We start from the raw sequence: 13,092 nt of genomic DNA, 5'->3' as shown, positions 1-13,092 counted from the left end.
TCCATAAACAAGCTCGCTCCAGCGACAGCCCAGGGCTGCCACGCCATCGTGCCCTGCTTCTCGGGCAGAATGTCAGCCTCTTCTCTTCGTTAGCACGTCCTGCCTCAAACATTCACCAATTTTCTATTCCTCCAAGCATCTCAAATTTTATTTTTATTTTTTTTAAGATGCAGTCTCGCTCTGTCGCCCAGGCTGGGGTACATTGGCAGGATCTCGGCTGATTGCCACCTTCCCTGCCCAGGTTCAAGCGATTCTCCTGCCTCAGCCTCCCGAGTAGCTGGGATTATAGGTGAGCACCACCACGCCCAGCTAATTTTTTTTTTTTTTTTTTTTAGTAGAGATGAGATTTCACTATGTTGGTCAGGCTGGTCTCAAACTCCTGACCTCAAGTGATCCACCGGCCTTGGCCTCCCAAAGTGCTGGGATTACAGGCACGAGCCACCATGCCCAGCCAAAATTTTAAATATTAAAAAAAGAAAAGAAATCCTAAGCAGCCACAGTGGCAGGCACTGTTAAGAACACAGAAAACTAAGTGATTTACACTCTGAACAATCTGTCTAGATCTTTACCCTCTGGCCCCTCTGCACTTACAATCTACATCAGTGTCAATGTGGTGACATGTTGCTTTTTTAAGTTTGTGTGTGTGTGTGTCTGTGTCTGTGTGTGTGTGTGTGTCTGTATCTGTGTGTGTCTGTGTCTGTGTGTGTCTGTGTCTGTGTGTGTGTGTCTGTGTGTGTGTGTGTGTGTGTGTGTGTTCTGCCCTTACAAGCAAGCCTTTCAGGGCCCATCTATATATATTATAATGTCTCCAAAGAACCCAGTACACAGCTCTGCATACGCTGGAATTCCTTTGTCTTCTAACCAAAGAAAAGAGCCCAGATTTTTGTCTTAGGATGACTTGAAATTCACGATATTTAACAACTCTGTGGCATGGGCATCAATCAGAATGGATTCCTCAATGACTATGGGAGTGGGTGTGTGGGTGTCTGTCTTCCTACCAGAATATAAACCAGCTGGAGTGCTGAGCAGAGCCCTGGAGACCCACTGTGGGGTCAGGTGCCAACGCTTTCATTGCTGATTTGTGGGGAGGTCCCAGAGATCCCAGAGGCAGGGCCTGGGTGGTGGGGAGACTGGGACTCAGAGCAGCAGCTCTTGACCAACACGTGTGGCAGTGTCTCAATATTTTAACAGGTGGTGAGTGGTGTGGCCACCTGTATGTGTACCAGCTAAATATTCACCTTGCTGTTGATGCTGCTGAAGACGAGGATGATGAAGACAACAGCATTGCTCATCCCCAGACAGATCAATGATTCCGAAGAGCAGAGCGTTGGCTCAGGGGGCTCCACCTAAAAAGTGGAACTTTCTGAAAGGGGTTCTTTTCAAGAAGGACATTTGAAGAGGCAAAAATTCCAGGGCTGTATTTTTAAGTCCTTTATTCGGCTGTAAATCTTAAGTCCACCCACAGTTGATCAAGAAAGCCACACAAAGTTACTCTGCAAACCTTTCTTTTTTTTTTTTTTTTTCTTTTTTGAGACGGAGTCTCGCTCTGTCGCCCAGGCTGGAGTGCAGTGGCACGATCTCGGCTCATGGCAAGCTCCGCCTCCCAGGTTCAAGCGATTCTCCTGCCTCAGCCTCCTGAGTAGCTGGGACTACAAGCATCTGCCATCATGCCTGGCTAATTTTTTTTTTTTTTTTTGAGACGGAGTCTTACTCTGTCACCCAGGCTGGACTGTAGTAGTGTGATCTCGGCTCACTGCAATCTCCGCCTCTTGGGTTCAAGCAATTCTCTGCCTCAGCCTCCTGAATAGCTGGGATTGCAGGCACCCGCCACCACGCCCGGCTTTTTTGTATTTTTAGTAAAGACAGTTTCACCATCTTGGCCAGGTTGGTATTGAACTCCTGACCTCGTGATCCACCCGCCTCGGCCTCCCAAAGTGCCGGGGTTACAGGCATGAGCCACCGCACCCAGCAATTTTTTTTGTTGTTGTATTTTTGTAGAGATGGGGTTTCACCATGTTGGCCAGGCTGGTCTTGAACTGCTGACTTCAGGTGATCTGCCTACCTTGGCCTCCCAAAGTGCTGAGATTAGAGGCGTGAGCCACTGCGCCCGGCCGCTCTGCAAACCTTTGAAAGGTCTGCAGTCTAGACTGAGCCAGGTGTGTAAATAAAGCCCTACCCTCTGCTGAGAACCATTAACACATGTTCCAGGAAACTGAAATCTGACCAGGCATCACCCCATTCAGAAAGGGCAACAGCAAGACTCGGCATTCTCAAACTCCCCATCTTGGGACTCAGCCGAGGGGTGACAGCAGTCTGCACCATCGAGGGCTTTGATCATCAGTAGACCACCTGGTGGCTATCTCAGAGAGACAAACAGGCAGATTAGGCATCAGGGACAAAGGCCAGATCGCTCAGACAGACACCAGGCAAAGCCATGGACAGCTCTGACATCTGCAGACCCTCAGACCTTCCATTCAGATCCCGTCTGCTAAACAGGCAACTGCCTCCATCAAGTTCTTTTTTCTTCTGAGTGTTTCATCAGCCCACCGAGGCTCACAGGCTCCCTGCATGGAGTTCTACAGCTTTCAGACAGAAAAGAAACAACGAACCTCAGGACTGTGGTGACTGGAAATTCTTGAGCGTTTAAAACATTTCATCCTCTTTTCAGCCGATTTCACCCTTCTGACTTGTGATCTGGATAAACTGACTGCCATCATGAGCAGTCATGATGATAATCTCTGAATAAAGTAGAAGGGACTTAGAAGAACAGAAGGAATCGTTCATAGGAATAACAGGAGGACTAGGAAGTATCCAAGTCCAAAGCAGTTCTGTGTGTGTGTGTGTGTGTGTGTGTGTGTGTGTGTGAGTGTGCGTGTCTGTGTGTTCCTTCTCACAAACGTTTTCAGATAGTTTGAAGTCTGGTTACAAGGAACACCTAAGACAACAGTATGAAGAGAGAGGACAGAGAAGACGGGTGTCACATTGGAAGTCAGGGGAGGGGAGGGTCTCTTGCCATTTCATGAGTCTTCCTCTGTGTTCCATGACGTAAATGTCCCCCTCATTTTCTGGGCCTGGCTCCCTCTAGAACTCGACTAAGTACAATAAAATTGGTCTACAGCAAAAGTCTTTCCCAACTGCAGCTGAAGCTTAGAGTGCCATCCCATAGTCACAGAACTTTAAAAGCAAAATACTCACCCTTTCACGGATTTTACCCACCCACTACATATCATGACAATATGCAAGACGTCATTCCATATTTCCCAAGAAGAGACTCTGACGTATCTTGGATTGTCTTTCAGAGTAATGGAACAAATGGGCTTTTAGAAGAACATATAGAATGATATTTAGAAAAAAATATAAAAGGAGGCCAGGTACAGTGGCTCACTCCTACAATCCCAGCACTTTGGGAGGCTAAGGTGGAAAGATTGCTTGAGGCCAGGAGTTCGAGATCAGCCTGGGTAACATAGCAAGACCCAATCTCTACAAAAAATAAATAAATAAATAAAAATTAGCCAGGCATGATGGTGCATGCCTGTAGTCCTAGCTACTCAACAGGACAAGAGGCCGAGGCAAGAGGATTGCTTGAGTGAGGAGCTGGAGACTGCAGTGAGCCATGATCACACCACTGTATTCCAACCTGGACATCAGAGTGAGACCCTGTCTCAAAAGTCAAAAAAGGGAAAAATAAAAAATAGAAGGCTATAGAAAGGGTATCTTTCTTTTCCTTTCCTTTCCTTTCCTTTCTTTCTTTTTCTTCTTTTTTATTTTTACAAGACAGAGTCTCACTCTGTTGCCCAGGCTAGAGTGCAGTGGCATGATCTCGGCCCACTGCAACCTCCACCTCCCAGGTTCAAGCGATTCTCCTGCCTCAGCCTCCCGAGTAACTGGGACTACAGGCGTGTGCCACCATGCCTGGCTAATTTTTTTTTGTATTTTTATTACAGATGGAGTTTGTATTTCTTAGATAAACCACTCAAAAAGCATAAGCAATACAGAAGAATGGGGGTAAATTTGGCTTTATTGAAGTTAAAACTTTTGTTTAAAAAGACTCTTTAAACACTGTGAAAAGACCAACCACAGACTGGGAGGAGAAACACGTTATGCACATAGCCAACAAAAGATCCTTTTATGTATGTGTGTATATATATATGTGTGTGTGTGTGTGTGTGTGTGTATATATATATATGTATGTATATATATAGAATCCATACCCTACATCAGTAGGGACAACATATGCATCAAATGGAAAAATGGGCAAAGGATGTGAACATTTAGGTCATGGAAGGGGAAACACAACTGGCATTTGCAAAGATGGTCAATCTCACCAGGAACCAGGGAGATGCTCGTTAAAACAATGAGATAGCACTTCTCACCCATGTGATTGGCAAATATTTAAAGTTTGATAAAGACAAGTATTGGCAAGGGAGAAACAGGATGGGCATGTCCAACTGGAACAGCCACTTTGGAGAGCAATTTGGTGATAAGTTGTAAAGTTGAAGACATGTACAACTTATGACTTGACAGTTTACCTCCTCTCTCCTCTGAATATATCAGAGAACTTCCATGTAGGTGCAAAAGAATACATATGCAAGAATGCACACAGCAGCACTGTAGGTAACTGAGGGAAAAATCCGAAATGTCCATCCATAGGAGAAGTAAATAAACCACATATGGCTGGGCGCGGTGGCTCATGCCTGTAATCCCAGCACTTTGGGAGGCCAAGGCGGGCAGATCATGATGTCAGGAGTTCGAGACCAGCCTGAGCAACATGGTGAAACCCCGTCTCTGCTAAAAATACAAAAATTAGCCAGTTGTGGTGGTGCGTGCCTGTAATCCCAGCTACTCAGGAGGCTGAGGCAGGAGAATCACTTGAACCCGGGAGACAGAGGATGCAGTGAGCCGAGATCACGCCACTCCACTCCAGCCTGGGCGACAGAGCAAGATTCCATCTCAAACAAACAAACAAACAAACAAAAAACCACATATATATACAATGGAACACCATGCAGCTGCTAATACTATACATGTGTCAACTTGAATAAATTTCAAAAACATCATATTGAGTGAAAAGGCCAATTGCTGGTCATGCACAATATATAATTTACATACAACTTTTTATTAGTCCAATACAATGTATGTGTTTAGATTTCTTAGGTAGAATATCTAGCTCAAATGAGAACACCATACATGGGCTAGTTAACACAAGGGTAGACATTATCCTTTGCAAGGAAGGAGACCAGGAGTGGGAAAGGGCACCCTGAGCGCCTCAGCTAAATCTTTATTGTTTCATTCTTTAAAATAAAACGAGATTTGAAGTACATACGGCATAGCAGTAAGATCTGATAACGCTAATGCCGGACATTCAATATGTTCCCTATTTTGGGGGGGGAAGGCATAGAGACAGGGTCTCGCTGTGTAGCCCAGGCTGGTCTCAAACTCCTGGCCTCAAGAGATCCTCCAGCCATGGCCTCCCAAAGCACTGGGATTATGTTATTCTCTATTCTTATCTATGTGTTTGAAATATTTAAAAATAACGTGAGCTTTGAGATGCTATTTTAAATCTAACAGTCAGGCATTTTTCTCTTTTGTTTCCCAGGCAAAGACAGACATTCCAGGCAGAGGAAATAGTGTGATGAAAAGCACAGAGGATCTAGAAGGCGTGAGAATTTCAAGGAATGACAACGCCTGCATCTCGAATGGCTGGAGATGAGGCTGGGTGAGTCAGGAATGAGCCTTGAAGGCCACCTGAGAAATGGGGACTGAGCTCATACCACAGGCTAAGGGGATCCACCAGGGCCGAGTCCCCAAAGCAAGCACCTTCCAGACCTTCCAGAGGCTGCACCCAGTGCTCCCGCTGCCGCTGTGAAGCACTGCCCACAGGAGGGAGCGGGCAGCCAGCTGGGGCTGCCATGGGCCCTGGACGGGGCTGTGTCCGCCGCCATAGCAGCTGTTCCCGTGGACCTCCAGCTGTCCACAGGATGACACAGGTGGACACAGCGTGAGTCACTGTCTCCTGAGGCCATTGGGCTGCAAGGAAAGGGCAGGTTTGGGCCAGCTTTTAAGAAGGCCCTCGACTGTGACCTGTAAGGCACCTGGGAGCCCTTCTCCCACTTTGGGGGTCCTGGGATTCTGCTGCTGCTGCTTCCTCCCATGCTCTGAACACAGCAGTGCCAGCTGGTGCCCAGCTCCAAGTTCCACCTCTTCTCCTACTTAGAACCAGACCACCACGGACAGCCAACCTCCAGCCAGCAGGCTCTGGAGAAGCCGATCCAGCTGCCTCCCTCTGGCCAAATGAGGATCTAAAACCCACCGGCCGCTTTTCCTCTGTCGGGGCACCCTCTGGCTTCGTGGTCTTCCTCTGGCTCTGGCCATCCTGGTCATTCCACCTTCACTTCACAGATTAGGTCCCTGCTAATCTCTGGGAATGACACCTCTAAATCCTTCAGAGCTGCACTCAGGAAATTCCGACATTTACTGGTAACGGGAAGAAACTGCTCACTACCGATGATTTTCCTGACAGGTGTATTCTGACCCAATAAACAGCTGCTTAATAAGGCTTGGCAATACTCTGTTTCCCAATCCCCAGGCCCTGTGAGACCCAAGAGTAGGAAAAGGTGGAGATCCATGATCCCTGGGCGGGGACTCTGGGGGCAGGGACCTTGGGCCGGGCCAGAGTCCTTTATCTTTGAGCTCAGGGCACAGAGGAAGCAAGTTTCTTTCCACCTCATTCTCCAAGTCACTTCAGGCTCTCTGCCAGGCTGGTTCTGACCTTCCTCCAGCCTCCCTGAGCCACCTGGCCCACAGCCTCCAGCCTCCCTCTGGCAGGTCCCTGTAGCCTTCCAGCTCCCTCCCACAGCGGCATCTCCTGCCTCTCCCAGCTTCCCTAAATGTATTGTTGCTTTTCTGATATGGCTATATCTCACTAAAACTTCCCTTGTTGCTCTTCTCTGCTGTCTCCCCTCCAGCCCTAACAGAGCTTTTGGTAAAAATGTTAATATATCACGAGCCCCCTCCTACCTTTTTGAAATTTTCCCTAGAAGGAAAAAGATTAAATATAATCTCACGAGAGTCTGAGGGCAGTGGTATTTCTCCACATTCTATACACACTCGTATGTCTGTACATGTATGTGTATATGCAGCTTCCTCTAAACGAACCGAAAATGCAGGACTTTAAAATTCCAGGACTTATGAAATGGAAAACAAATTCTACAAACCCAAAGTTACAATTTTCAGACATTTCCACACTGAGGTATATACACTAAGGTGCGACTGATCAACCCAACTCTACAAATTACAGCAACTATGCCCTGCCTTCCCCTCCCCTAAGAAGAGAAAAATAAAGCGAATGTGGCCATGGAAGCGGCGAAAGTGGACTCAGGAAGTCGTTAGGCACCAGAATAACCCCTAGGGATGCAGAAAGACCACGTGGTTTTCACGGGAAATGACTCTCTTTTTTTTTGAGACAGAGTCTCACTCTGTTGCCCAGGCTGGAAGCACGATCTCGGCTGACTGCAACCTCCGCCTCCCGGGTTCAAGCAGTTCTCATGCCTCAGCCTCCTGAGTAACTGGGACTACAGGTGTGCGCCATGACACTCGGCTAATCTTTGTATTTTTAATAGAGTTTCTCCATGTTTCCCAGGCTGGTCTCAAACTCCTGACCTCAAGTGATCCGCCCGCCTCGGCCTCCCAAAGGGCTGGGATTACAGGCGTGAGTGACCACACCCGGCCGGAAAGTGACTCTTTATATAGTAAAATAAAAATACACTGTCAGGAAAGACAACTTTTGGAAGGAAAAACACTAAAACATTCAGAAAATCATTTTACTGGTCAGGACACAATGGCTCATGCCTGTAATCCCAGCACTCTGGGAGGCCAGATCACCTGAGGTCAGGAGTTTGAGACCAGCCTGGCCAACATAGTGAAAACCCGTCTCTACTAAAAATACAAAAAATTAGCCAGGCGTGGTGGCGGGCACCTGTAATCCCAGCTACTATGGAGGCCAAAGCAGAAGAATTGCTTGAACCTAGGAGGCAGAGGTTGCAGTGAGCTGAGATCACGCCACTGCACTCCAGCCTGGGCGACAGAGAGAGACTCTGTCTAAAACAACAATGAAAACCCAAACAAAAGAAAATCATTTTACTAACCATAATCCTAGTCAATGAATCAAAAATGTGTTCTTCACCTATTAATGGCATTAAGTTTTTGATAAAAATTGATGCAAAGAAAGAATTCGCTTTCTAGTAAATCATTAAAACGTAGCTCTTCTGGAAAGTGAATCAGATGGTCATTTTTATTGGCTCATGACCTGTTTTATTGGCCTCATGTCAATATCTGCTTCTTCGCCTTGTGCAACATCATCATTTTCTGCGGGACTGCAGCCTGATATCTGCACGGATGACGGAAGAACATGGAGGCATTCTCTGGAGGACGCGTTAACTCCTGCCCATGTCCATCTTCCACTAAATGTCCTGGGCCTCCCACTACACAGGCCATTCTGAGAGGGGAAGTAAAATGAATGGGCTGGGAGAAGGACAGCGACGTGAGGCAGAAAATACAACTCTTGCAGTAGATGGTGGAAAACGAAATTAGACGTAAGAAACCACGTCTCCATATCAAGAGCTCCTCAAAGTCGGGTCTACAGAGAGTTTGCTACCAACACCCAGAAGGAAGTGTAGAAATTGAGACTAAGCATTTAGAATTTTTTGCAGCAATATGTATAATTTTAGATCAATTGGGGTTTTTTTGTTTTGTTTTGTTTTTTGAGACAGTTTTGCTCTTGTCACCCAGGCTGGAGTGCAGTGGCACCAACTCAGCTCACTGCAACCTCCGCCTCCCAGGTTCAAGCAATTCTCCTGCCTCAGCCTCCCGAGTAGCTGAGATTACAGGCGCCTGCCACTACACCCAGCTAAATTTTTGTATTTTTAGTAGAGATGGGGTTTTGCCATGTTGGGCAGGCTGGTCTCAAACTCCTGACCTCAAGTGATCCACCCGTCTCTGCCTCCCAAAGTGCTGGGATTACAGGTGTGAGCCACCATGCCCAGCCCAATTGTTCTGAGTAATAAAAAAAATTGAGGACTTTTTAATGTCTTTTGGGTTTGGGATTTTTTTCCATTTTTCTATTCATTTTTATTGTCTTTGATGGATAGGTTGATCTGCAACACGATATGGAAAATTTGAAAACTGGTCCTTCATCAAATACAGTTTGAGAAGCACTGCTCTATATCACTCTCCTATGTTTAAAAAGATCAGAGTTTTGTGATTCTCAAATGACAATATTCTTTTTTTTAGATGAGATGAAGTTTCTGTCACGCAGGCTGGAGCACAGTGGTGCGATCTCGGCTCACTGCAACCTCTGCCTCTTGGGTTCAAGTGATTCTTGTGCCTCAGCCTCCTGAGTAGTTGGGATTACATGTGCCTGCCACCATGCCCAGCTAATTTTTGTATTTTTTTTAGTAGAGATGGGGTCTCACCATGTTGGTCAGTCTGGTCTTGAACTCCTGACCTCAGGTGATCTGCCTGCCTTGGCCTCCCAAAGTGCTGGGATTACGGGCATGAGCCAGCATGCCTGGCCAAATAACAACTTTTTTTTTTTTTTTGAGACAGGGTCTTGCTCTGTTGCCCAGGTTGGAGTGCAGTAGTGCAATCATGGCTCACCACAGCCTCGACCTCCGGGGCTCAAGTGATCCTCCCATCTCAGCCTCCCAAGTAGCTGGGACCACAGGCACATGTCACCACGCCTGATTAATTTTTACTTATTTACTTAGCAGAGATGAGGTCTCACTATGTTGCCCAGGCTGGCTCTGAACTCCTGAGCTCAAGCAACCTTCACGCCTTGGCCTCCCAAAGTGCTGGGATTACAGGTGTGGAACACTGCACCCAGCTACAATATTCTTATTTGAACAAAAATTTGCAGACTCCCTGTATTAATCCAAACAAATACAGTCTGTACAAAAGACAGTGTTGCCAGTAAAGAATGGAAGGAAATGTGTGTGTTTCCGAAAGGCTGAAAGTAGTAAACTGGGAGCTCCCATAAAGGCTTTTTTGCCATGATGCTCATAGACCCCCTGGGCCCCGGCTGCAGCATCACCATCCACCAGGGTACGGTTTTGCTAAGCAAGGGAAGCAGGCCTTACCACGGCTGGGTGATCACAGGGACCATCACCCACCCAAGGCTTCCTGGGTGCTGGAGGAGCACTTTCCCGTTACAAAAACTCCATCCAGATGGCTTCCAGGAGCCAACAGTGCCTTGAAATGGGTGGCAGGAGGGCAGACCAGCTAACAGAGAAATAAGATGATGCCATATGTCCAGAGAGAAGGGAGGTTAAACATTCACATCTGCTCTAAGTCGTAGTCTAAGGATGGACTTTAGAGTTGCGTGGTATGAGACAGAGCTGTAAGTTACATCTGTCTAGCCCTCATTTAGCAAAGGACACGCCACCAGGGGCAATGGGCAAGAATGGGAGGAAGAAAGAAGGGAAGAAGTAGAAAGAGGGAGCAGAGGACAGAGGAAGAAAGAGAGATAACCAGCCAGCCAGTGTGCTGCTGAAGACACCACGATCTTCATTGCAGACAAATTCTGCTACGTTGTGAGCCTTAGAAGCATTTGTGATCACACGGACCAGAGACTCAGTCCCAGATCGGCCTTAAGTAATTTCAGACAAGTCACTTTACTTCTCTGTGCCTTATGTTTCCATCTACAAAATGAAGGTGTTGGGCTATGTGGTCTCATTCATTTATTCAAGCAACACACACTGATTAGGCACCTACTGCATGCCACCCATGGTGTTCTGCCCTGGGGATACAGCAGCGAGCAAATCCCAGCCCCCACGGGGCTCACGGCCACACACACTCAGTATTCCTTTCCCCTAGCATTGGCATTCTCAGATTCCGCATCATGTATTTTTATTTCTACACTCCATTGTTTTCAGGTTTAGACATTCTTACCAAAAATAGGAAAGGACAAGGAAAAATCAAGTCGCATGCATTATAAAATTTGCTTCAAGAAAATACAACATACCAAACTTCAACCTTATAAAACAAATTTTATTCATAGCATTGCTAACATTATAGGTTTATAAGAAATTCACTTAAAGGTTCTTTTAAATAATAAAAATCCTATAGTTCACATATTAATAATTATAATATTGATTGTCAATTACGTCCCAGGAACTATGCTAAGCCATTTTATACGCAATATCCTTTAACTTTCACAATAAATCTATGATGGAGGCAACATTTATTCCCATTTTAGAGTTGAAGACGTTGAGGCTGAATGAGGTTAAAACTAACTTGCCCAAAGCCCATGGCTGGTAAATGATAGAACCAAGACATGAACTTGGCACTTACATGCTTAACTTTCTTACCTGTATACACCTTGGTCATTAAAACATAAGTGATGCCAGAGGCTCACTCACGCCTGTAATCCCAACATTTTGGGAGGCCGAAGCAGGCAGACTACAAGGTCAGGAGTTCGAGACCAGCCTGACCAGCATGGTGAAACCCCGTCTCGACTAAAAATAGAAAAATTAGCCAGGCATGGTGGCGCACACCTGTAGTCCCAGCTACTCGGGAAGCTGGGGCAGGAGAATCACTTGACCCCAGGAGGTGGAGGTTGCAGTGAGCCAAGATGGTGCCACTGCCCTCCAGCCTGGGTGACAGAGCGAGACTCTGTCTCAAAAAAAAAAAAAAAAATAAGTGATGCAGTGTGTACAAGCAGCTTATAGTGGTGGGGTGTTTTGGGAAGGCGATAAGCACTGTTTATTCTAACTACTCAAAAACTTATGCAAATGACAAACCCGGTATTTCACTCTCATGTCTTAAAATTGTACACACTGTTCCTGCTTAGCACACTGACTATTATTTCAGGAGCTTCAGACTTTACTCCAGTTTTCTGTGGACTTTTCCTTTCTATCTATATTCTGAACCCTTATTCCCTTCCTCCCTCCCTCCTTTCCTTCCCTCTTTCTATATTCTGAACCCTTCCTTCCTCCCTGCCTCTCTCCCTCCGTCTCTCCCTTTCTTTTCTTTTCTTTGTTTCCAGAGTCTCTGTCACCCAAGCTCGAGTGCAGTGGCGTGATCATAGCTCATTGCAACCTCAAACTCTTAGGCTCAAGCGATCCCCCCACCTCTGCCTCCTGAGTAGCTAGAATTAAAGGTGAATGCCACCATGCCTGGCTAATTTTTCTTTTTTTTTTTAAGGAAAGGATCTTGCTATGTTGCCGAGACTGGTCTGGAACTCCTGGCCTCGAGCCATCCTCCTGCCTCAGCCTCTCAAAGCACTGGAATTACAAGCATGAGCCACCACACCCAACCCGTATGTCTTAACGGAAATTTAAAAGCAAATATTATTGAACTGACACAAATGTTCACTTTGAATGACAAAGGACACCTACCTTTAATTAACTATGGCCTTTGAAGTATAACCTTAAAGCAAGAGAGTAATGACCTAGTTTATACAAATCTAACATATTCGAATATTTTCCTGAACACATCAGCTCCACAAAGGAAGGGAAGCGGAGCCCCTCCACAGGCAACTCAACCCAGCGCAGTAGGGACAGAGGAGGAGGCCGAAGGGACAGTGTCAGTTGACACTCTCAGCTCCACCAGGCAGGAGGATGGGGAAGCAGATCTCTCCCACGGACTCTGCCTTCTGAAAGACACAGGGGCAGGAGGCCAGGAGGACCTCCTGCAGAGCCAGCCTGTGTGCCACCGGGTGTCCAACGGATTGGCTAATGGGCCCACTGCTGCTGGCGGAGGGCAAGTCCTTTTAACACAACAGGCTTTTATTCTCTTAGAAACACTTAATAGCAGGCCGGTGTTGCGAGGCCTGGAAACGGCGCTCCCCTGCTGAGCTCACGCAAGTCAAAAGCTTTCAGCCAAACCAAGGAAATGCCCTGCTGAATAAATCAGTGCCCTTCTCCTCGCTTTTCTTCTTTGCAAGCCGCCGGGAAGAACTTCCACCTGCAGACTGGAGCACCCCAAGTCAGGAGGCCAAATTGCGGGCCCATCTCCAACCCAGTCCTGCCCACATGTAACCCAGGAAACACTGCTGTCTCACCAGCACGCCTCACCACACTGGGAAAGTTCTCCCGC

The 13,092-nt window shown here is 46.7% G+C and overlaps 1 protein-coding gene across 1 annotated transcript in view, besides 1 other annotated feature; it reads right to left on the bottom strand.

Moving 5' to 3' along the window:
* KIF26B (kinesin family member 26B) overlaps positions 1–13,092 on the bottom strand; it is a 554,448-nt gene that overhangs the window by 461,811 nt on the left and 79,545 nt on the right. The gene's annotated exons all lie outside the window — the stretch shown is intronic.
* Positions 12,561–13,080: an enhancer, noted in NCBI's record as "OCT4-NANOG-H3K4me1 hESC enhancer chr1:245397844-245398363 (GRCh37/hg19 assembly coordinates)". NCBI's record gives its function as "activates a minimal SCP1, AML or CMV promoter by ChIP-STARR-seq in naive and primed H9 embryonic stem cells {active_cell/tissue: H9 hESC(naive and primed)}" and the evidence as "EXISTENCE:reporter gene assay evidence [ECO:0000049][PMID:30033119]".

Source organism: Homo sapiens, chromosome 1 (genome assembly GCF_000001405.40).
Source record: "Homo sapiens chromosome 1, GRCh38.p14 Primary Assembly".
In the NCBI taxonomy this organism is placed as follows: Eukaryota; Metazoa; Chordata; class Mammalia; order Primates; family Hominidae; genus Homo; species Homo sapiens.
The sequence above is the reverse complement of the archived record's forward strand: the minus strand, read 5'-3'. Positions and strand labels throughout refer to the sequence as shown.